The sequence below is a fragment of the Homo sapiens genome, chromosome 2 (genome assembly GCF_000001405.40).
Source record: "Homo sapiens chromosome 2, GRCh38.p14 Primary Assembly".
NCBI lineage: Eukaryota > Metazoa > Chordata > Mammalia > Primates > Hominidae > Homo > Homo sapiens.
Genome location: NC_000002.12, coordinates 16,033,737 through 16,055,289, shown reverse-complemented (window position 1 = coordinate 16,055,289; position 21,553 = coordinate 16,033,737). Strand labels below are relative to the sequence as shown.

Genomic DNA, 21,553 nt, shown 5'->3' with positions numbered 1-21,553 from the left:
CCTCAGGTGATCCACCTGCGTCTACCTCCCTATGTGTTGGGATTACAGGCGTGAGCCACCATGCCCAGCGATAGTGGGAAGGTTCTTGAGGTAAGCTGGGAATGAAACATTGCTCTGTTTTTTTCTACCCATGTTACATGGCTTGGGCAATTTTCTCAACCTATATATGCATCGCATTTCCCCTCCTATCTTTCCCTCAGTCTCTATGTGTGACATTTTTCAGGGCAATTGTCAATTTCTTAAAGACAGTATATAACTCATAGCTCACCTTCCCTGAGATAAGGGGAGGAGATTGTTGTCTCTTACCTGTTATATATGAAAGCCAAGGCAGTTCCTAAAAATTCATCAATTTGGACAAATCACCTTCACTGCCCTCGACTCTGAATTATCCAAGTTCAATATATCCTAGACATGTGAAATCTGAATAACCTTGTTAGGAAGTTTGGTATGTGTTAGGAAACTATCACTTTGGCACATTAAATAGTCCCTCATTCTGGATCTACTATGTTTAAACCCACACTTCTCAAACTGTGTGATGAGGTACCCTGAGGCCCACAGCAAACTCACAAGAGCACTAAAGAGCTGGTTTTTTTTCCATTTTGTTTTGTTTTGTTGAGACAGAGTTTCGTCCTTGTTGCCCAGGCTGGAGTGCAGTGGTGCGATCTCAGCCCACTGCAACCCCTACCTCCTGGGTTCAAGCGATTCTCCTGCCTCAGCCTCCCAAGTAGCCGGGATACAGGCATGGACCACCATGCCCAGCTAATTTTGTATTTTTAGTAGAGATGGGGTTCACCATGTTGGCCAGGCTGGTCTTGAACTCCCGATCTCAGGTGATCCACTCACCTCAGACTCCCAAAGTGCTGGGATTACAGGCATGAGCCACTATGCCCAACCTGAAGAGTATTTTAAATGTAGAAGCCATACCCAACACCCACAGGGCAACATACAGCTCTGAGCTCCAGGCTGCTCACCGTTTCAGCATTAGATTGTGCTGCATCCCTTTCAAGGACATCATATCCTTGCAAAGCTGAGTTTGAGGTGGTTGCAGGGATAACAGGCACGTGCAGTGTGAAAACCAATGTGGAACGGGCGGTGAAGGTGGTAGTGGCCCATCAGATTCCAAGATCTGAGAAGGTGCATAGGGCCCAACTGGCTCACATATCCTGTGAGTTGTAGTTATTTGTGAAAGAAATAAAGACAGTACTTTTTCTTTCCATTTATCAGTATTATTTCAAATACCTACTAATTCATTAGGAGATACTATATATATATATATATATATATAAACACTTAAACAGAACAGTTACATATTTTTTTGGCCTAGGAGCACCATGATCCAAAAAGTCTGGGAAACCTGTGGCTTAAGCCTACAACCCTAGGAGGTAGTCTTTCAGCCTCTTACATATTAGAACACGAGCTTAAGGATTTTGAATATTGTTTTAGGTTGTATTTTCCCAAAAAGCCCTCAGCAATACTTCTGGTTCCATGTGTGTTTCTAGAACCTTGCCACTCCTCTCATCAAAAGATTGAGTTTAGGGCTGTTAATATTCTTTATTGCCTTTATAATCTGGATTCTGCCTCTGCCATTTCACTGGCATCAAGGATGCTCAGTCAACCATGACTGCTCGCTCTATATGCCCATCACCTTTCCCAAGCCTTACTCTCTCTGAGATGTCTACGGCACCTGGCACCGTAGCCACCCTCTCTGAATCTCTTCCCCTCTGCTCTGGGCCTGCATGCTCTTGCTTCTGTCTTCCCAAACCTGGCTGTTCTTTGCCTATTGCTTTGAGTGGCTTCTCTGCTTAGCTCCTAAACATAGTGATTTCTGACAGCTCAGTCCAAATACATCCCATTCATCTCTCTCCCCAAAACTGAGCTTCCATCCCTGACTTGCCTCGAGCTGATAATGGGTGATTCTCCCAAAAACTCACACTTGAAATCCCCAGGCACCTTTTGCTCCTCTTTCTCCTTTGCCCCAATCACAATCCAGTCACTAACCCTAATGAATCTTCCTTGAAAGTGTCTCTTGAATTCATCCATTCCTCTTTAATTTTTTCTGTTCCCCTAAAGCAGTCCCCTATTATCTTCAGACTTGACTATGAGAAGCCAACATTGAAGGTATTCATACATTTGTTAAATAATGATGCTAACCCCTAGGTAGTCTCCTGGACTTCAGTTTCTCTCCCTCTAATTACTGCTGCCACCAAAGTGATCTTTCCAAAATACCACTTTAATCATGTCATACGACTACTTAGAATAGTTTGATGGTTAATATTGAGTGTCAACTTGATTGGATTGAAGGATGCAAAGTATTGTTCCTGGGTGTGTCTGTGTTACCAAAGGAGATTAACATTTCAGTCAGTGGACTGGGAGAGGCAGTCCCACCCTCGATCTGGGTGGGCACCATCTAATCAGCTGCCAGCGCAGCTAGAATAAACAGGCAGGAGAAGATGGAAAGAGCAGACTTGCTGAGTCTTCTGGCCTTCATCTTTCTCCTGTGCTGGATGCTTCCTGCCCTTGAACATCAGACTCCAAGTTCTTCAGCTTTTGGACTCTTGGACTTTACACCAGTGGTTTGCCAGGGTCTCTCAGGCCTTCGCCACAGACTGAAGGTTGCACTGTCGGCTTCCCTAATTTTGAGGTTTTGGGACTCAGACTGGCTTCCTTGTTCCTCAGCTTCCAGATGGCCTATTGTGGGACTTCACCTTGTGATCGTGTGAGTCAACACTATTTAATAAACTCCTCTTCATATATACTTCAATCCTATTAGTTCTGTCCCTCTAGAGAACCCTAATACAAATAGTAATATTCAAAAAGCAATAGTAATATACAAAAAGCAACAAGAAAACGACACATATTGATGATTCTTTCATTTGGGAATTTAGCATAAGGGTGTCATACGCTCTACATTACAATGTTTGGAGTTTTTGCCTTACTCATGCATTACTTTTATAATCAGAAAAATTGTTTAAAGGTATTATCGTAAAAACAAACAAAAAAAAGATTGAGTTTAATTTCCCTCCCCTTGGAACATGAGGCAGGTTTAGTGACTTGCTTCTAATGAATTCTATCTAATACCAATGTGCAGAAGTGACACTGTGTGACTTTCAAGCATAGACTGAAAAAGTGTTCCAACTTTATGTTCTGTCTTGGGACGCTCACCCTTGGAACCCAGCCACCATGCTGTGAGGAAGCCCAAGCAACCCACATGGAGAGTCCACACACTGAAGTCCATGTGGAGAGGAACCGAGACCCCCAGCCAACAGCCAGCATTCACCACCAGGCATGTGACGCAGCAAGCCTTCAGTGATCTCAGTCCCCAAACTTTGAGTCTCATAGCTAAGGCCTCAGACATCATGGAGCAAAAATAAGCCATCCCCCATGTGCCCTGAACAAGAGGTGGGGGCAGAGGGGACAGTGGAAGGAGCATGGACATAGAAAGATCTGGGTTCAAATCCTGTGTCTGCCTCATATTAGTTTTGGTACCTTACATAAGTCACTTACTTCTAAACCTTGGTTTCCTCATCTCTTATGAACTGAGATGTTGCAGAGCTCAGAGCAAGGTCCCCAGCATAAAGTCTGAGACATAGTAGGTGCTTAATAAAGTATAAGTGAGCTCATCTGACAGCCCATCCAATCTTCAGACAGTTTTAATTGTTAGAAATGCTTTCTTCTGTATGGATGAAGTGAATTCTGCCTGCCTGGAATGCCCACCACAGACTCAGTCTTTCCCTGGCAAGGAGGGACGGGGGAGGACCACCTCTCCTCCCTCAGCAGCCTTCAGACACCACTCCTTCCTGCCTCCACCCTCTGCCTGGTCCCTTTCCTACTCCCCACCAGGAGGCTTCTGAAGATGCAGAGGGCCCGTGTGTTGCTGGTGAGCCTGGACACATTGAAAGCCTTGTTTGCATGATAACTCCTCTTTGAGTCAGTTCAGCTGCTTCCGTCAATACAGCCCTCAGATAAGATGCTGTAACTCAGAATGTCTGGCTCAAAAGCAAACTGCTACAACTGAATCATACATGCTGCGTTAAAGTCCACCCGCTTCTCTCCCATGCCTGGCCTTGCCACTGCGCAAACAGAAGCCGAAGGGAAAGGTCCAATTATTCCATGGAGATTTAGCTACTGTATTGACAAAACTCAGCGTTAATTCCCAGAAAGCATTCAAGCCCCGAGGTGGGGGTGGGGGCGGAGGGAGGCAGGGAGAGAGGAAGAGCTGGCTATATAACTGGGTGAGAGTCATAGCCGCTTTTCAGCTGAGTCTGACCTAGTTTAATGAAATCAGGTCATCTGTGAGCTCTTCATTACCCTCAGACTAAACAGGACCCAACAGAGCAGCCAATGTCCCTGGCCTTTCAGAATTCTGCTCATTCGCATTATGACATTTTGATGTTGGGTCTTAATGCATGTTGACTTAGTGGCCTGGCCCCTCCAAAGGTAGTAAACAGCCTGGGTAAAGGCTGGGAAGTAAACAAGAGGGCTGATTTAAAAACCACACACATAAAGGCAGTGTAAATACCCCAGGTCCCTAGCCTGCATCCTCAGGGAAACCAGCAGACAAAAGGCGTGGAGTGTCCGCGACCATTATGGCTGACGGATGGATGGAACTCACCTATTATCCTCCTGCCTTCTCACATGGAACTCGCAGCCTCAGCAGATCTTCAGGGCAGGGGGCGGGATTGGAAGGAAATGAAATTGTCAATTTAGGGACAGTATGGAAGATTCAAGGGCAAATTGCTCCCCAGCAACAATTGTAGAGGACAGGGACAGTTAACCCCCTTGAGACTGTCCTATGCGCTGGTGATGGCTTTATTTGATCTGCTGCCCAGTCTGCATTGTCCTGAAACCAAAGCCTGTGGTCAGGGAGGCTGAAAATGATCCTTCTTCTCCCGGTGGATGCTCATTAATTGAACGAATTTTACGGAAGTAGATGATATCTGTGGGTTCCCTGCTCCTATCAGACAGCCAGACTACCAGGCTCAGAAAGGGCAGAGTACCGTATCAGTGCTAAACACCGTGTAGGTGCTTCAGTGCATAGGTGTCTCAAGGACTCTATTTGGCGTGTGCTGGTGGTAGAAGCAGTATTTTTAACTCAAGATAAATTTACCAATGGGCCCAGGCTGGTGAGGGCTGAGAATCACAGGAGGCAGGAGGGAATTCTTATGTACACTGACTGCTCTTTGCAGTCCTTAGACAGGTGTGGGGTCTAGAGTCTCACAAGCTGATGAATTTGGTCTGGGTTTAACTAATGGTGTGTTGGCTTCTGCCTCTCAAGCAATGGCACAAGGTCGAAAAATTCCCTCACCTTCCCTTCTCAAAAAAACCTCCTTGCCAGTTACCTAATTTAAGTACCCAGTCCCTGTTCAGAGATATGTGAGGACTGCACAAGTGTGGACTGGGAGGAATAAAACATTAATTGTGGGTGACCACAGGCAAGAGGTGTCCCTTCTATAGGTTTTAGTTTTTCCATGTGTAAGATAAGGAGGTTTAATCACATAATCTCTAAGGGCTTTCTAGGAAGGGCATTCTAATTCTAAGGCGAATGCGATTCATCTTGAAGCGAATCTCTGCCTCCCCCACCCCAGGTAGCAGACGTGCCCTAACCAAGCCATTTCTCTGGGCCTCCGAGGGATCCACTGCTGACCTTGACTTCCTTAATCCCAGGCTCCGACACTGATCTGCTCACTCTCAACCCTCTCATCTGATACCAGCATTTGGCCTACATCTATTGTTTCCTTTAATGATTAGTAAACATGGTTGAACAGAGCAGAAAACCAGTTTCCTTCCCAAGGGCAAGGGACTACAAGCTGGTCTCTTCTGTCCCTCTCCTCAGCCAAGGGAACAAAGTCTGACATCCAGACTTTGATTCTCCGTGGAGGGAAGCAGGACCCCGACAGCAGAATGACAGCTAAGACTCTACTTTAGCCTGTCTCTACTATCTAATCAGGAAAATGGCAGGATCCAGCCTGTCTCTACTATCTAATCAAGAAAATGGCAGGATCCAGTTTCCCATTGTGTTGGCATTGATAATATGTATTGAGTGACAGTGTCTGCAGTGAGACTATTGATTTGAAAGACAGTTTAAGAATTGACTAGTATTCATAATCCCAGCACTTTGGGAGGCTGAGGTGGGCAGATCACTTTAGCTCAGTAGTTCAAGACCAGCCTGGGCAACATGGCAAAATGCCCATCTCTACAAAAAAATACAAAAATTAGCCAGGCGTGGTGGCATGTACCTGTAGTCCCAACTACTCAGGAGGCTGAGGTAGGAGGATCGCTTGAGCCCAGGAGGCAGAGGTTGCAGTGAGCAGAGATCATGCCACTACACTCCAGCCTTGGTTACAGAGCCAGACCCTGTCTCAGAAAAGTAAATAAATAAAATAAATAAAATAATAAAAAAAGAATTGACCAGGATTCCAGGGCTTAGAATTCCAGAATGGTAATTACCTCCACATGCATCCTAATTTATAGGAACGCCAGAGAGCTTGATGGCTTATAAGTTTCAGCCAGTCAAAGTTGAGAGCCTAAAAGAACATCTCTAATCAGAGTACCGGAAAAGTACAATGCCAAAAGAAAACCTACAGAAGGTTGGTGAAGTGATTCCCAAACATTTAGTCACAAAACCTTTTTTAGCAACAAAAGCCTACATGAAAACCAAATACATAAAACGGGACTAAGTGGAACTGTTCAGGTGAAGCTGAGCAAGGACCCAGAGCCCTACCTCCCTTTCCCTCATTCCGCCCCCTCCCCAAGCCCTTAAGGCCCTAGGCACCCCATGGAACCTCAAGAGTTTGAAGAGCAAAGACCTACTCCCACCTCCTCAATTTGTAGATGAAGAAACCAATGTCTAAAAAAATGAAACAACTCGACAGATTCCGTGTGAGTCAGAGCCAGAGAGGCATTGGATTTTCATCTCAGCCCCAAGTGATGCTAGCTCACCACCACATAAGTGCCTGCTTTTCTTTTTTCTTTTTTTTTTTTTTTTTTTTTTGAGATGGAGTCTTGTTCTGTCACCAGGCTGGAGTGCAGTGGTGCGATCTTGGCTCACTGCACCTCCACCTCCCAGGTTCAAGCAATTCCCCTGCCTCAGCCTCCCAAGTAGCTGGGACTACAGGTGCCCACCACCATGCCCAGCTAATTTTTTGTATTTTAGTAGAGACAGGGTTTCACAATGTTGGCCAGGACGGTCTTGATCTCCTGACCTTGTGATCCGCTCACCTCGGCCTCCCAAAGTGCTGGGATTACAGGCGTAAGCCACCACACCCGGCCAAGTGCCTGCTTTTCAATGATGCCCTAACCAATCTTCATTGCTTCCTTCCATTCAGAAGCTAATTTTAAAAGTGTCCTTTATTAGAATTGAAATAAAGTTTCAGCTACAGTAAGACGAAAAGGCACAACATTGGGGGTGGAAAGAAGCTGACCTAGAATTAGGAGGACGTGCTATTACTTTAAGTCATTTTCTTTTCTGGAAATTATCATTCTCATCTGTGAACTGCGGGGTGGTATTGCGAAGTGGAAGACACCAACATCAGCAATTTCAAGGTTTATGCAAATTTTAAATCTAAACGTCATAAATTAAATTCCCAAAGTCATCTCCTCTGTATTCTCTTGTAAATTCCTATGAATTAGACAACACAGCTAAAATAGAAAACTTAATAGAAAGACCAGAAAATAAGGAATCTTCAAATATCCTTTTTTTTTAAAATAACAGAGTTGGAACATAGGAAAGAAAAGTTGAAATGTCAGGATCAATCCAGAATATCTAACATCTGACTAATGCTAATTACAGAAAGATAAAACAGAGAGGAGAAATTATCAAAGACATAATCATTATTTTTGAAAAAATTTTCTAGAAGGAAAGAACACGAGTTCCAGGATTGAAAGTATACAGGAAAAAAAATGATGAGAAAACAGCCATAGAAAGTTATATCAGAGTAAAATTTCAACTCATTGGGATAAGGAAAAAATTTAAAGCCTCTATGGAAAAAAATTAAAATTTTCTTCCAAGGATTGGATCAAAATGGCATCAGACTTCTCAACAGCAACACAGAATATTAGAAAACAAAGAAGCCACATCTTCAAAATTCTAAAAGTAATTTTAACATAGACCACTATACCCAACCAAACTAGCCAAATAATGTGAAGATAGAAGAAAGGAAATTTTAGTTAAGCAAGAACTCACAAGTTTTATGTTCTGTGCACCATTTCTTAGGAAGCTGGAATAGGTTATGCTCCATCAAAACAATAGATTAAACAATAAGCAAGCAAGCAAGCTAGGAACAGACCAGCTGTCCTAGTATGTTAGGGCCGCGATAACAAAATGCCTTAGACTGGTAAGTTATAAACAATAGAAATTTGTTGCTCACAGTTCTGGAGGCTGAGAAGTCCAAGATCAAGGTACCAACAGACTCAATGGGTGGTAAGGTCCCATTGCTCATAGATGGTGCCTTCTATGTATACTTACATGGTGAAAGGGACAAACTAGCTCCTTTGGACCTTTTATAAGGGCACTAATCCCATTCCTGAGAGTTCTGCCCTCATGATCTAATCACCTGCTAAGGGCCCCACTTCTTAACCCCATTGTATTGGGAATTAGATTTCAACATACAAGTTATGGAGGGACACAAACATTCAGAACACAGCAACTGCCAAAGCAGGAAGGCTACAATCATCAATTGTGTGGCCTAAACAAGATAGGCCAGTTCAGGCTGTAGCATACAACTACAGAGGCTCTCTTCTTGTTACATGTCCATTGTGGGTTGGCTATAGCTCTGCTCCATGTCCTCTTTACCCCAGATCTGACTTGACTTAGCATTCTCTATCTGAAACATTGACAACTGTCATGGCAGAAAATAAAAGAGACCATGATAAACCATTTCCTGGTTCTAAAGTTCCTTCTCCAGAGTGATACACACTACTTACACTTCTACTTACATTTCATTGGCCAAAGCAAATTACGTGACAAAGCCAGGTATCAATGGGACACAGAAATATAATCCCCATGCAAGAAGGTGCAGTGAATATGTTTAACAAGCAGTCTACCACATCCCAGGATGACAGCTGCATATTAGGCTCAAAAAACAGTCATTCAGAACCGGAGCAGAAGATGGAGCGCTACGGGAGGGAGTTTTACAGGTGGGAAAATGCAACTGGCAGATTATCTGCTTTATATAAGCACTGGCAAAAGAAAATGATTAACAAGCTCAATTAAACAGAAAAATATGTACGTAGTACTATTCAAGTCAAAAGAGAAAAAAATGAAAAAATTATTAGCTCCAAAAGAAACAAAAATATTCTATTTAAAAAGGGAGGTACTCATACAGTACTTGTTTCTTCAGTGAACAATATTTTCATAGTAAAAATGTAAATACTATCAATTTAACTTCAAATTGTAAAGTGAGCATTATGGGGAGAATAGAAAGAGAGAAATTGAGGGGAATAGTTATGACAGATTGAACTCCTCAAGTCTACTCAAGTCGTGTGATGGTTAACTATTCTTTCCTGGATTCTAGTTCTGTAATATCTCACTCTGTATTCTGGTGCTCCATCAGGAATCTGTAATACAGCCAGGCACAGTGGCACATGCCTGTAATTCCAACACTTTAGGAGGCCAAGGTGGGAGGATTGCTCAAGACTAGGAGTTTGACATCAGCCTGGGCAACATAGCAAAACCCGTCTCTTCAAAAAATTTAAAAAATAAAAAACTTAGCCCTTCATGGTGGTGTGCACCTGTGGTCCCAACTATTCCAGAGGCTGAGGCAGGAGGATCACTTGTGTCCAAGAGGTCAAGGCTGCAGTGAGCCATGATTGTACCACCACACTCCAGCCTGGGTGACAGAACAAGACTCTGTCTCAAAAAACAAAAAGAATCAGTAACACATGTAATCCACCAGAAGCGCACCTGCAGTCAATATGCACAATGCCTGGCATTAATAAATCTAAAAATACCAATAGAAGCATATAGAAAATGGAAAAACCAACTTAAAGTGCCAAAATGTGTTGCCTTTAAGGAGGTGGGGAGGGATAGAGCAGGGGAGTAGAGTATGGGTCATAAATAAATAATGTTTTTTCTTAAATGATTAATTTTCAAGGCATCCAGACATCATAAACAGAACCTGACATTATAACCACCCTGGCAGCAGTGCAATTTTTCTCTGATGATTCGGAGGTGCTTTCAGGCCTGGCCATGACTGAGGTCATCTTTCTGAACACCATTCCTTATTCTTTCCCAATTTGTTAGTCTTGTAGGAATCGATTTTATGTTAGCCCTTCTAAATCCCAAAGAATCGATGTCCTCTTTGGTCAATGCCCAACTCTTTCGGACATTCCGCTACTGATGCTGGATAAGTCAGTGGCTTTCCCCTTGCTCCTCAGCTGAGTGAGGAAGCACTGAGTGCTTCCAGCCCAGACAGCAAGCCAAGCCGTGGTTGTGGAAATAAAGCTGTGGGAAGACATTGGCCAAAAGTATTGAAATAATGGAAGCTACTCCCTGGAATTCAGAAGCTACAGGTCATCCTCTCAAATATCACTATATGGAAGGTGAGCTGAGCTTTCAGAGCTGGAAAATTTTCCTGGGGTTGTTTCCCCCAGAAGGCTGGGCAGATGTGCATGTCTTTAAACAGATTTTACCTGGGGATAAAAGACAGCCAATCCTTCCAATAGTTTATTATATGATATATCCTTATAGTAATATCTTTTTTTTTTTTTTTTTTTTTGAGACAGAGTCTCTCTCTGTCTCCCAGGCTGGAGTGCAGTGGCACGATCTTGGCTCACTGCAACCTCTGCCTCCCATGTTCAAGCAATTCTCCTGCCTCAGCCTCTCTAGTAGCTAGGACTACAGGTGCCTGCCACCATGCCTGGCTAATTTTTGTATTTTTAGTAGAGAAGGGGTTTCACCATGTTGGCCAGGCTGGTCTCGAACTCCTAACCTCAAGTGATCCACCAGCCTCGGCCTACCAAAGTGCTAGGATTACAGGCATGAGCCACTACACCCAGCAATACCTGATATAAATATTAAAAATCACAGTCAAAGAAAAATGTGTAACAATATGAGAAACTATGATATAATGTTAAGTCAAGAAAGGCAAAAATAAATGGATATATAACCTATAAATTGTGTTTGCGTTTGTGTGTGTCTGAATGTTAATAGGACCTACCTCTGAATGATGAGATTGGCCAATGTTTAGTGGATTTAATAAGAATCAAACCTTAAATAATAGATTTTCTTGAAGACTCATAAAATGACTATAGATAGAAAAGCAGGCAGAAGACTCAGAATTTAGTCCCAGTTCACCCACCAATTAACTGAATGACATTGAGCAAATGCATTCACTTCTTTGGCCTCAGTTACCCCATCTGTGAAATGAAGTGGCTAAATGAGAAAAGTGACTTACACTTTTTCGTGAAGCCCTATACCAGGATGGGGGCAGATGGGAGTGTTGAAGCCAGTGGGGCTCCTTGTCCTCCATACCAGCCCTTTTGTCTAAATATACAATTATACAATCTCTAAAATCATTGCTGATTGTATTTATGTAATTTCAATGTAGACAATTATACAACCAGCTCGTTTTCCTTCTTGCCTTGGGATCAAGAAGCTTAACAAAGGTAGTTCTCACCTGCAATTCTACCTTATCCCAACTACCTGTGATGCTTTTCTCTCTCCCCACACAGGATATTCCCATGTCTCTTTTCTCTAGTCTTGAATGGTCTTGTTTCATTGACGTGACAATTCAAACTCCTCTGATTTTTTTTAGAAGAGCAGAATTTTAATGAAAAGGTTTAAGCGCCATTTGGGTCAAAGTCAAAACTGGCTCTCCAGCCACCCCACCATGGACACTCATAGGAAACTATTAAATGAGTAAAAATCTGGAAATAATCTGTGGAAAATACACATACCCTTTATCTGTCTGGTTCCTAAATGGCTTATTACACAAACAAGCAGAAATATGTATAACATACCCCACATGTCTATCTGGGGCCCATCTTTGCCATTTATTTTTCTCATCCAAAGAATAAATGCAAGGTCCTCATCTAACCCAAGGTTTAGAGATCACACATACAAGATTTGCCAGTGGATTTATTCAAGAAAAGAAGAAATGAAACTGCTTAGCTCAGTCTTCCCATCAGGAAGGAGATCTTGTTAGAGAGTTTAAAAATAACGGCCGGGCATGGTGGCTCACGCCTGTAATCCCAGCACTTTGGGAGGCCGAGGCGGGAGGATCACAAGGTCAGGAGATTGAGACCATCCTGGCTAACAGGGTGAAACCCCATCTCTACTAAAAATACAAAAAATTCACCGGGCGCGGTGGCAGGTGCCTGTAGTCCCAGTTACTGGGGAGGCTGAGGCCGGAGAATGGCGTGAACCCAGGAGGCAGAGCTTGCAGTGAGCCTGAGATCACGCCACTGCACTCCAGCCTGGGGGACAGAGCGAGACTCTGTCTGAAAAAAATTAATTAATTAATTAATTAATTTAAAAAAAATTTAAAACTCTGTGGACTGTGGGCCTTACCTTTGAATCCTGGTTCTGCAATATCTCATTCTGGTGAATCTCCACCTAGAAAGAGCAGCAAACATTGGGCACTGGATGCTCATAAATGTGTACACCAGTCAGAGTGGGGAGAAAAAACATTCACCAGGGTATAGAGTTGTCAAGAAGAAGAAATGGACACTATTTCCTCATCAGTCAAACTGGCTTGGCCTCAGCTTGGGCTGGAATCCATCCCCTGGCCTGCTAGGTCAGCTCTTCCATGGGTCTCTAGGAGCTAGGACTGCAGATTGGTATCCTCTGTTCATCCCAAGGCCAGAGAGAGTGTCTGTATGACATGAAAGTTGGCTCCCAAAGGTGCACTGCTCTACCGAATTCTGGTGTTCACTCTCCACCACATTGCCTGACCCAATGGGCTTCACCAGTCTTTTCCTTCCTAGACTTTCCTGCTGCATTAGACACATTGACCATCACCTCCTTCTTGAAATCAACTTTCTCTCCTTGACAGCAGGTCCTCCTATGTCTCTGGGTTCTCCTTTGCAGACACCTTTACGTGTCCCCCCCCAACATGTTGGTGTTCCTCGGGGTTCTGCCCTCAAGCTTCTTCTGTTGTTGCACGTGCCCCTGACGGATACCACTCCTTTTCTATGACTTTGACAACCATCTACACCTCCAATTTCTCTCTTCTGTATTTAAAAGCCTTCAGTTCAACTGCTTGCTGAATATTTTTCTTAGATTTCTCACCCATGTCCACCTATGTCAAATGCTGGGAGCTCAAACCTGAACTTACCCTTTTTCCCCAAAAACCTCTCTCATCATCTCTTGTGTCCTCCATTCCAGTGAATGGCATCACCATCCAGGCAAATACCTGGATGGTCAGGACCCTGGGAGTCAGCCTAGGCCCTCCCTCTCCCACCCTCCTCCAGCCAACCACAGGGTGATGCACCTCTTGGACCAAGGTATTTCTCAAATCTTCCCTTTCTTCACATTTCCCTGCCACTGTCCTGCTGGTTCAAGCTGATGTCTTCTCTCACCTGGAGAAGTACGAGAGCCTCCTCCCTGATCTCCCTGCCTCCAGACCCTTTCCTCCCAGCTGTCCTGGCATCTTCTGTCAACAGAGCGTATAATGGAAGTCTGGCCATATTCGTTTGGGCTGAGTTGATTCATCCTTCATGATCAAATTCAATTATCACTTCCTCTGGGAGCCCCCCCCCACCTTGATTCCTAATCTAAATTAATTCCCCCTTCTCCATTTTCCCAAAGTCCTTTGCATAAGTTCGTCCCATCACAGCATTCCACACTTCCGTAATTATTTGTTTACTTGTGGCCTCCCAGCCAAACTCTCAGCTCCTCTGACACAGAGTCTGGTCTTCTGTCTTTTTACTTATTTATTTATTTAGAGACAGAGTCTCACTCTGTCACCCTGGCTAGAGTGCAATGGCACCGTCTCAGCTCACTGCAACCTTCACCTCCCAGGTTCAAGCAGTGCTCCTGCCTCAGCCTCCCAAGTAGCTGGGATTACAGGCATCCGCCACCATTCCCGACTAATGTTTGTATTTTTAGTAGAAATGGGGTTTCTCCATGTTGGCCAGGCTGGTCTCAAACTCCTGACGTCAGATGATCCACCCACCTCAGCCTCCCAAAATGCTGGGATTACAGGTGTGAGCCACCACGCCCAGCCTCTTCTGCGTTTTTACTCCTTAGCATCTTACACAGTACCTGGCACAGGTTTGTGCTGAATGAATCAATAGAAGAGGTGCAGGGAGTAGAGGAGTCAGGGGATCTGGGCTGCTCTACTAGCCCCACCATGAACCTGCTGCATGACCCGGGACATGCCAGTTTAATTCTTTGAGTTTCAGTTTACTTATTTGCAAAATGAGCTGTTTGATTTATTGAAGACAAATTCGGTTCAAGCATCCACTTTTGTGCCAAGCACGATGCTCCATCCAGGGCCTGTCATAAATGTAAACTGGTCCTTCCCTGTTCTGAGAGCTTGTGGTTGAATCACATTTTCACGGCTCAGTTCTGCAGCAGGGACAGATGGCTCACTTCTAATGCATTTGCCATATCTCCTCTATTATTTATGTGTCCCCTGCCCACCTCTCCTGGGTCTCCTGAGCCCTGAGAAAAGTGCATTTCTAATCTCAACTAGGTTTCTCTATCACACAGTATTGCAGGGGTAGAAAGGTGGAGAAAGACACACTTTACCAACACACAGGTTTTCCAAGAATTCCCTGCCTTATGGAATACATCGCATTGCTTTGGGGTCTGCATGCACCAGTCAGCCTTTTCGTGGGTAATTTTAGCTCCTAACTCCACATTTTCCACATTCACTGAGAAATAGTTTTATCCTCACTTGGCTGCGAGTGTCTGGGCTCCATTCTATTGCTTGAGCCCCTTTGCTCTTCCCTGCCCAGAGTTGTGATGTGAGGGCCATTGTCAGGAGAACTGCAATGTTTACATCAATAGAAATTTACTGTAATGGGCACATTTTTTTAATTAAAAAAAAAAAATCATGCTCCCAAACCCAGAGTCCAGAGTTGAACAGAGTGAAAGCCCTTGCTTTCCTTCCTTTAGAGTTAGCAAGAAAAGTAGGTGCTTTGAGCACGACTAGGGACCCCCTCCTCCCACTTGCATCTCCAGCTCTCTGGACACTTTTCTGAGTCATTTAGTTGTAGTAGGTGAACTGGGAATTCTATCAGTGGGAAAGCACTACAGGCAACAGAAAGGTGATTGGTGTCCACCAGTTAAACAGACCTGGGCAGAAAAGGAAATAATCAGTAACCCTAACGCCGACCTTCATGATGAAGCCGGGTCTGAGAAGTAGCAAAACTAGTTCAGGATCAGGCACTGGCGCTGGCGCCAGTGGTATTGAGACAGGGACCGATATAAAAGAAGCTAAATGTTCATCTTCCATGGTGCAAAGTGTACAGATTGTTCCTAAAGCTGTCACATCAAGAAACAATATGTTGCTGAAAGGGGAGGAAGAAAATAACAAGATTCAACCAGGAGAGTTAAAAGTCACTGCCTCTGGGGAAAAGGAAACAAGAAGAAAGAGGGTGGGGGAAACTGCTGCTTTTCACAAGAAGCCTTGGGGAAGTTTTAAATAGTGTGCCTGAATAACTTTAATAAAAGTTTAAAAAGGAAGGAAGGAAGGAAGGAAGGAAAGAAGGAAGGAAGGAAGGAAGGAAGGAAGGAAGGAAGAAAGAAAGAAAGAGAAAGGAAGAGAAAGAAAGAAAAAGAAAGAAAGAAAGAAAGAAAGAAAGAAAGAAAAGGAAAGGAAAGGGAAGGGAAGGGAAGGGAAGGGATGGAAGAAAGAAAGGAAGGAGAGAGAGAGGAAGACAGGGAGGAGGGAGGGAGACAGGGAGGAGGGAGGGAGACAGGGAGGAGGGAGGAAGGAAGGAAGGAAGGAAGGGAGGGAGGAAGGGAGTGAGGGAAGCCTCACTGGACTTTAGCAATGGTCAGTGTGGCAATGTCAACACCCTGAGCCACTGGCTGTGGCAGGCAGGTGGAAATCCCTTCCAGTCCCACCCTCCAGTCCTGTGAGAATGATCCCTGCCCTCTCACTCTGCTCTTGCCCCCTCCCAGATGCAGCACCTAGATTGGGATTCACCTTGAGAAACCCAGGTGACTTTGAACTTCAGCAACACGGTACACTGCAGATGGTATCAAGCTTGGGCCAGTTCACCCCCAGCTAGAATACAGAGCAAAGCCCCATGTTCTTGCAAGAGTCCTTGGTGACTTTCTCATGGCTACAGCTCACTCCTCATCGACTTACAGGAATCTAAACAAGAGAGTGCCTCCCCTGTTGGAAGCAGCAAATCTTCCTTTATGGGTGAAATCAGCCATACCCAGCAGCAGAGAACAATTTCTCTCATTACACCAATTCCTGGAGCTCTTGCCGGTGGCAGCTGTTGCCCCATTAGGAAGGCATTTTCCACGGTGTAACCCACCCTGCCACCCGCCGGGCTGCCGACAGCTTCAGCGCTGCCGCCAGAAACAGCTGGAACGGGTCACTGAACTCCATGGGCTGTGGTACTTGGGGAAACATTAGTCCTCCAGATAGGGTGTCTCCTGCCTCCCATGGGAATAGCAGGAAGGGCAAAGTGGCCTGGACATGGTAGGGGCTGAGCTGCACCGATCGGAATCCTTCGGAAGTCCATGTACTCACCCACTCTCCTGCTCTCTCACACACATGTGCTCACATAAATACACCCAGCATCCGTGAAGAAGAGCTGGAGTGCTCAGTGGCACTGGGACAGAGCCCAGCCTCTGGTCTTGATATGTCCAACAAGACGCACTGCACTTCGCCACAATATCCACGGACCCAAGGGAAACACCACTGAGCAGACCTTAGATTCCTCCAGCACTTTTACTCACAAATAGAACAAAGAATTTTTTTTTAATCTCGTGTCTAGGAAAAGGATGGAAGTGTGCTTCTGTTGGCTTAAACTGTGAGATTTGGGAGGCACCATAGTCTTCTTTTACAAACGCTCACCATCTCCCTCCCTCCTCCCCTGACAGAGTCATTCCTGGAAACCCCACTGGTTCCTAAGAGTATCACTTAAATTTTGGTCAAAGATTACAAATATTTGATTTGAACATCCCAGTCTTGAACAGACGGCTTGTTCTTGCCCCGGCAGACTGCCCACCAGGCTCGGAGTGCTCGACTGCATTTTTAAAATCCCCCGGAAAGCTCCCTGCATTGTGAGCAGGTCCTGCTGACCAGGCTGAGTTTTACAGCCCAGCTCTCCAACAATGCCATTTACTGCACACGAAAGATCACAGCCAGCAGATGCGGCGGCCTCGCTCTGGCCTCTTGAAATTGCATCTGTTTTGAAATGTGACTCGACTTCAATCCAGAGCTGACCATAACATCCATGGCATGGACGGGAGGTGTTTACTAGATAAGCTTTTGATATTTGATGTTTGCTAATCATATTAAAGGCTTGAAACAAAATCCCAGCTACAATAAATCCTCACAATTGTACACATGAGGCAGGAAACGCCTAAGAGCCCTGCCTGGGGGGAGTGATCCAAGACTCAGGGCACAAAAAGGAGATAGAGGGTCTAGAAACCAAGAAAACAGGGGCCTGGTGACTGGGGTGAATTATTTCTGTGACTCACAGTGGGGAAGTCACTTCCCCTCTGGACCTCACTCTCCCCATCTGAAAAAGTATGGCCCAGACATGCTATGGTCCTTTTCCTACTTACAGTCCAGGCACAGGGACGTTAGGAGTCCTCACATGACAGCATTTAATGTGAATGTATGAAATGTATGAATAGCCATGTGGGCATGAATCCGATTTTGTGGCAGCTCCCAATTCACTTTCCTCAGTCGATCCTGACTCCATGACAACCCCAATGCTCGGGTATCAACCAGAGATCAACAAATCAGAAGGAACTTCTCTGCTGCATTAAGAATGGAAGGCAAATATTTGGGCTTGAAAGTGACTCTGGAGGGTCATCTCGGCCACCCCTCAGGTCCTAGTTGAACAGCCAAGCCCTCGATGTCCCCTGCCTGTGCATCATGCACCAATGTCACTCACTATCTCCCTGACACCATCCCATACCCATCCCACCCCCATGCAAGATGGTTCCCTAGATTCTCTCCTACCTTAATCATTATCATGCTTTAGGCTTAACTTCAAACTACACTTAAAAACAGATGGAATCTAAATCCCAGGGGATCAGAGAGGGCTGGTCTGTGTTGTCTCCACTGCTGTTCTCCTGTCTGGTTTGACTTTTGCCTGGCCATGCTTCTCAGGACCTAGCCAGCACTCTATCCTTACTAATTCCTATTAACCTGACCTAATGACAGCTACCAGTAATGGTATAGGACGTGACCTTCCCAAGATGGTCTACCTTGGAAAAAGAGACCTGAGACCTAAGTGCCTTCAAGGCTCTGCAGAGTTGGGGCTGGCATGGTGGAATAGCAGGCATCAATTAGCAGGCCTTTCTAGACAACATAGTCTCCCCTGCAACCCCAAAAATCCTAGCCATCTAAGCCCCTAGCTTATTCGGTCATCTTGGAGCTCTCAGGGTTTCCCTGAACCATTTGGTCAGAAAATACGTGTCATCAACCTTTGTGAAATCTCCATTTAGCAACAATGGGAAGATTTTGCTCATAGCCATGGAACCTAAAGGTGTTCACTAAACTGGTGCCAAGCAGGTGGAAGACATGTCAGAAGGGCACACAAGCTCACCTCCCCAGGAGCCAAGCCAGCCCCTGTAAAAGCCAGCTTTGCCTCCAGGTCTCAGACATGTAAAACCCTTCGGCAGCGTGGAGCAATTGGCCACCTGCTTTATCCTGGGGAGAGAAGAAGATTCTCATTGGTACCAGTACAGGACATCAGTAAAGCAATTTCCTTTGTGGGACTAATTTAGTGCTCATCACACAATGAGGACTGCCTGCTAGGCCATGTCATTAACCAAACTGGCCAATTTAAAACTGGATGGTCACAGCCACTGCTCACAACCAGGAAAACGCCTCTCACCAACAAAGAAAGAAGCAGTGAAGTCAGGTTACCTGTTAGCTAAGAAGAGTACTGCAAACGTGAGCTACCGGGTGCTGAGCCCTCCTCTGTTTCAGGCACTTTGCAGACAAGACCTCCTTTAAATTCCTGTGCCTACCTCTTTGGAGCCTGGGTTATAATTCCCTCTTTGACAGACAAAACCCAAGAATTTAGGAGGAATAAGAAGTAGAAGCAGGATTTGGGCCTGATTCTCTGAGCTTACAGTCTAAACTCGACCGTCAAACCACTTGGCCTCCCACTGTGTCCTAAGAAGTTTAAAGACAGAAATTAGGCCATTTTAACATTTTGCAAAACCCTAGATAGACTCACAACTTTCTCCATGTCAGCTCAGGCACTGCAGGTGCTGACAGACCCCTGAGATTCAGTGCGACCTGACGGCTCCAGTCAGAGCCTCAGGGGAGTTGAACTCACTAAGAAACCTGCCTTTCGGTCTGAGGTCCCCCATCACCCCCACCTCCAAAGCTTCCTTACATGGTTGTCTGTTTCCAAGGTCTCTTCTATGGCCTGAGGCTGTCTCCTGCCAAGGCATGGACCAGTCATAGTCTGCAGCTGCCAGAGAGGAATGAGAATTGTCCAGCCCTTGTCCTAGAGTTTTTGTCCTGTTTTTGTTGCTCCTATTTTGTGTTTTAACTTTTTTTAACATATTAATACAGTTTATCTTTTCTTTTTTTCTTTTGAGACAGGGTCTCACTCCATCACCCAGGCTGGAGTGCAGTGACACAATTACAGCTCACTGCAGCCTCTGCCTCCTGGGCTCAAGCGATCCTCCCACCTTAGCCTCTCGAGTAGCTGGGACTACAAATGCACATCACCACACCCGACTAATTTTTGTATTTTTTGTAGACACAGGGTTTCACCATGTTGCCCGGGCTGGTCTTGAACTCTTCGATCCGCTCTCCTCAGCCTCCCGAAGTGCTGGGATTATGAGTGTGAGCCACCCTGGCAAGCCAAGTTTGTCCTTTTTATTAGCAAAGTAAAATAGTTTTTAAATTCCCTGTAGTTTCATCAACCAAAGACAAATACCATTAATACTTCTTTCTAGCTTTTCCGTATGCTAGTTCCATGTCTGTTGCTCTATGAGACTGTGTGTGTTCACCATTGTGACTAAATGCATCATTTGACCTCTTGGTGTCTCTCCCCCATAGTATTATGATATAACCATTTCCATTTGTTTTTATAAAGTCTTCACAAACATCCTTTCAACTACTGTCTGAAAACCTGTTGTCAGGATGTAATAGAGTTTACGCAGTGAATCCCCTCGTGCTGGATCTTTAGGTTATTCCCAATTTTTCCCTGTTATAAACAATGCTGTAACAAACATCCTTGTTTATATGTCTATTTTCTTCAGAAAGATTTCCTGAAGTTGAATTACTAAGTCAAAGGGTATGAATAGTTTAACATCCTTGATCAATGTGTCCAAACAGCATTCTAACTATTTAAGCATATTTTAAATATTGACTTACAGAGTGTCAAATAGGAAGGAACCTTTGCAGTCAGCTCCACCCCTTCCAGATGAGAACTCACAGTGGTGCCATGTGATCCGGGCCAGTAGTCACCACTCACTCAACAAAACACTCCCCTCCACCCCACTTCCCCCCAAACCCTCCATCTCCACTCCACCCCTGCCAGTTTGACCCACTTCCAGTATTTGGCCTTTGCTCAATTCTTTGCTCTTCTCTTTCTTCTGCCTGGAACATCCTCATACTGTCTCCTGGCCCATCTCTCCTTGTGGAGAAAACCACAGACTTTAAAGCCAGCTGGCCCTCCTCTGTAGAGCGCTGCCTCCCTGTCTGTGTTGGGATGGGGTGGGCCCCCAGGGATGGAAGCACCCCTGATGAGACACACTCACCCCCTCTGGGCTGGGCACTGCTGCCCTCCACCCCCCAGGACCACACCTGGGATCCCACCCTCTCTGCCAGGGCATGCCAGTAGGAGCTCAACCACACTGCAAATATTCCCCCTACCTGGCCCGGCCCACTGAGAAGCACATTCCTCATTCCTTCCCTGGCCGTCCACATGGGGCACTGTGACAGCTAAGTCAAACATCCCATGGCGAGGCTGTCATGGAGAAAGGGGGAAGCTTTCCAGCCAGAGAGACCCAGGTTCCAATCCCAGCTTCAATTCCTACAGGGAGAGGAGAGATCCCGAGCGAGTGGCACAGGCTCCCTGAGCACCAGCTCTCCCCTCTGTGTGAGTGGCCTGGTAACTCCCCTACAAGGGACAGTGAGGAGCCGACGGCTGTAGGCACTGCTCCCTGGTCCTGTTACCTGGGCATCTGACTCAGTTTACCCACCCCAAGGGGTCATCAGTGAGGGGCAGACAATGGGGTAGGGGAGCAGGAGAGAATCAGAAATGGCCGCCCCTGCCTCCAACAAATGGCTATAAGGTAACTGGACGTCTTTGCCAGGAAGCAATGTGTACCAAGACGCTAAGCCTAACTGTGTAATTATGCTAGGATTCCTTCTAGTAATTAGCTTTTCCTTATGAGAAAGGAAAATAATTATATTTCTGCCTCACATCCAGACAGTGCATT

General features: G+C 45.3%; 1 long non-coding RNA gene across 1 annotated transcript in view, besides 1 other annotated feature; it reads right to left on the bottom strand.

The window, feature by feature from the left end:
- The window catches only part of GACAT3 (gastric cancer associated transcript 3), a 35,263-nt gene extending 30,400 nt beyond the window's left edge, over positions 1-4,863 (bottom strand). The window contains exon 1 of the long non-coding RNA NR_126559.1: positions 4,613-4,863. This is a non-coding gene — a long non-coding RNA (gastric cancer associated transcript 3). The remainder of the gene's footprint in view (positions 1-4,612) is intronic.
- Positions 20,505-21,005: an enhancer, noted in NCBI's record as "H3K4me1 hESC enhancer chr2:16174407-16174907 (GRCh37/hg19 assembly coordinates)". NCBI's record gives its function as "activates a minimal SCP1, AML or CMV promoter by ChIP-STARR-seq in primed H9 embryonic stem cells {active_cell/tissue: H9 hESC(primed)}" and the evidence as "EXISTENCE:reporter gene assay evidence [ECO:0000049][PMID:30033119]".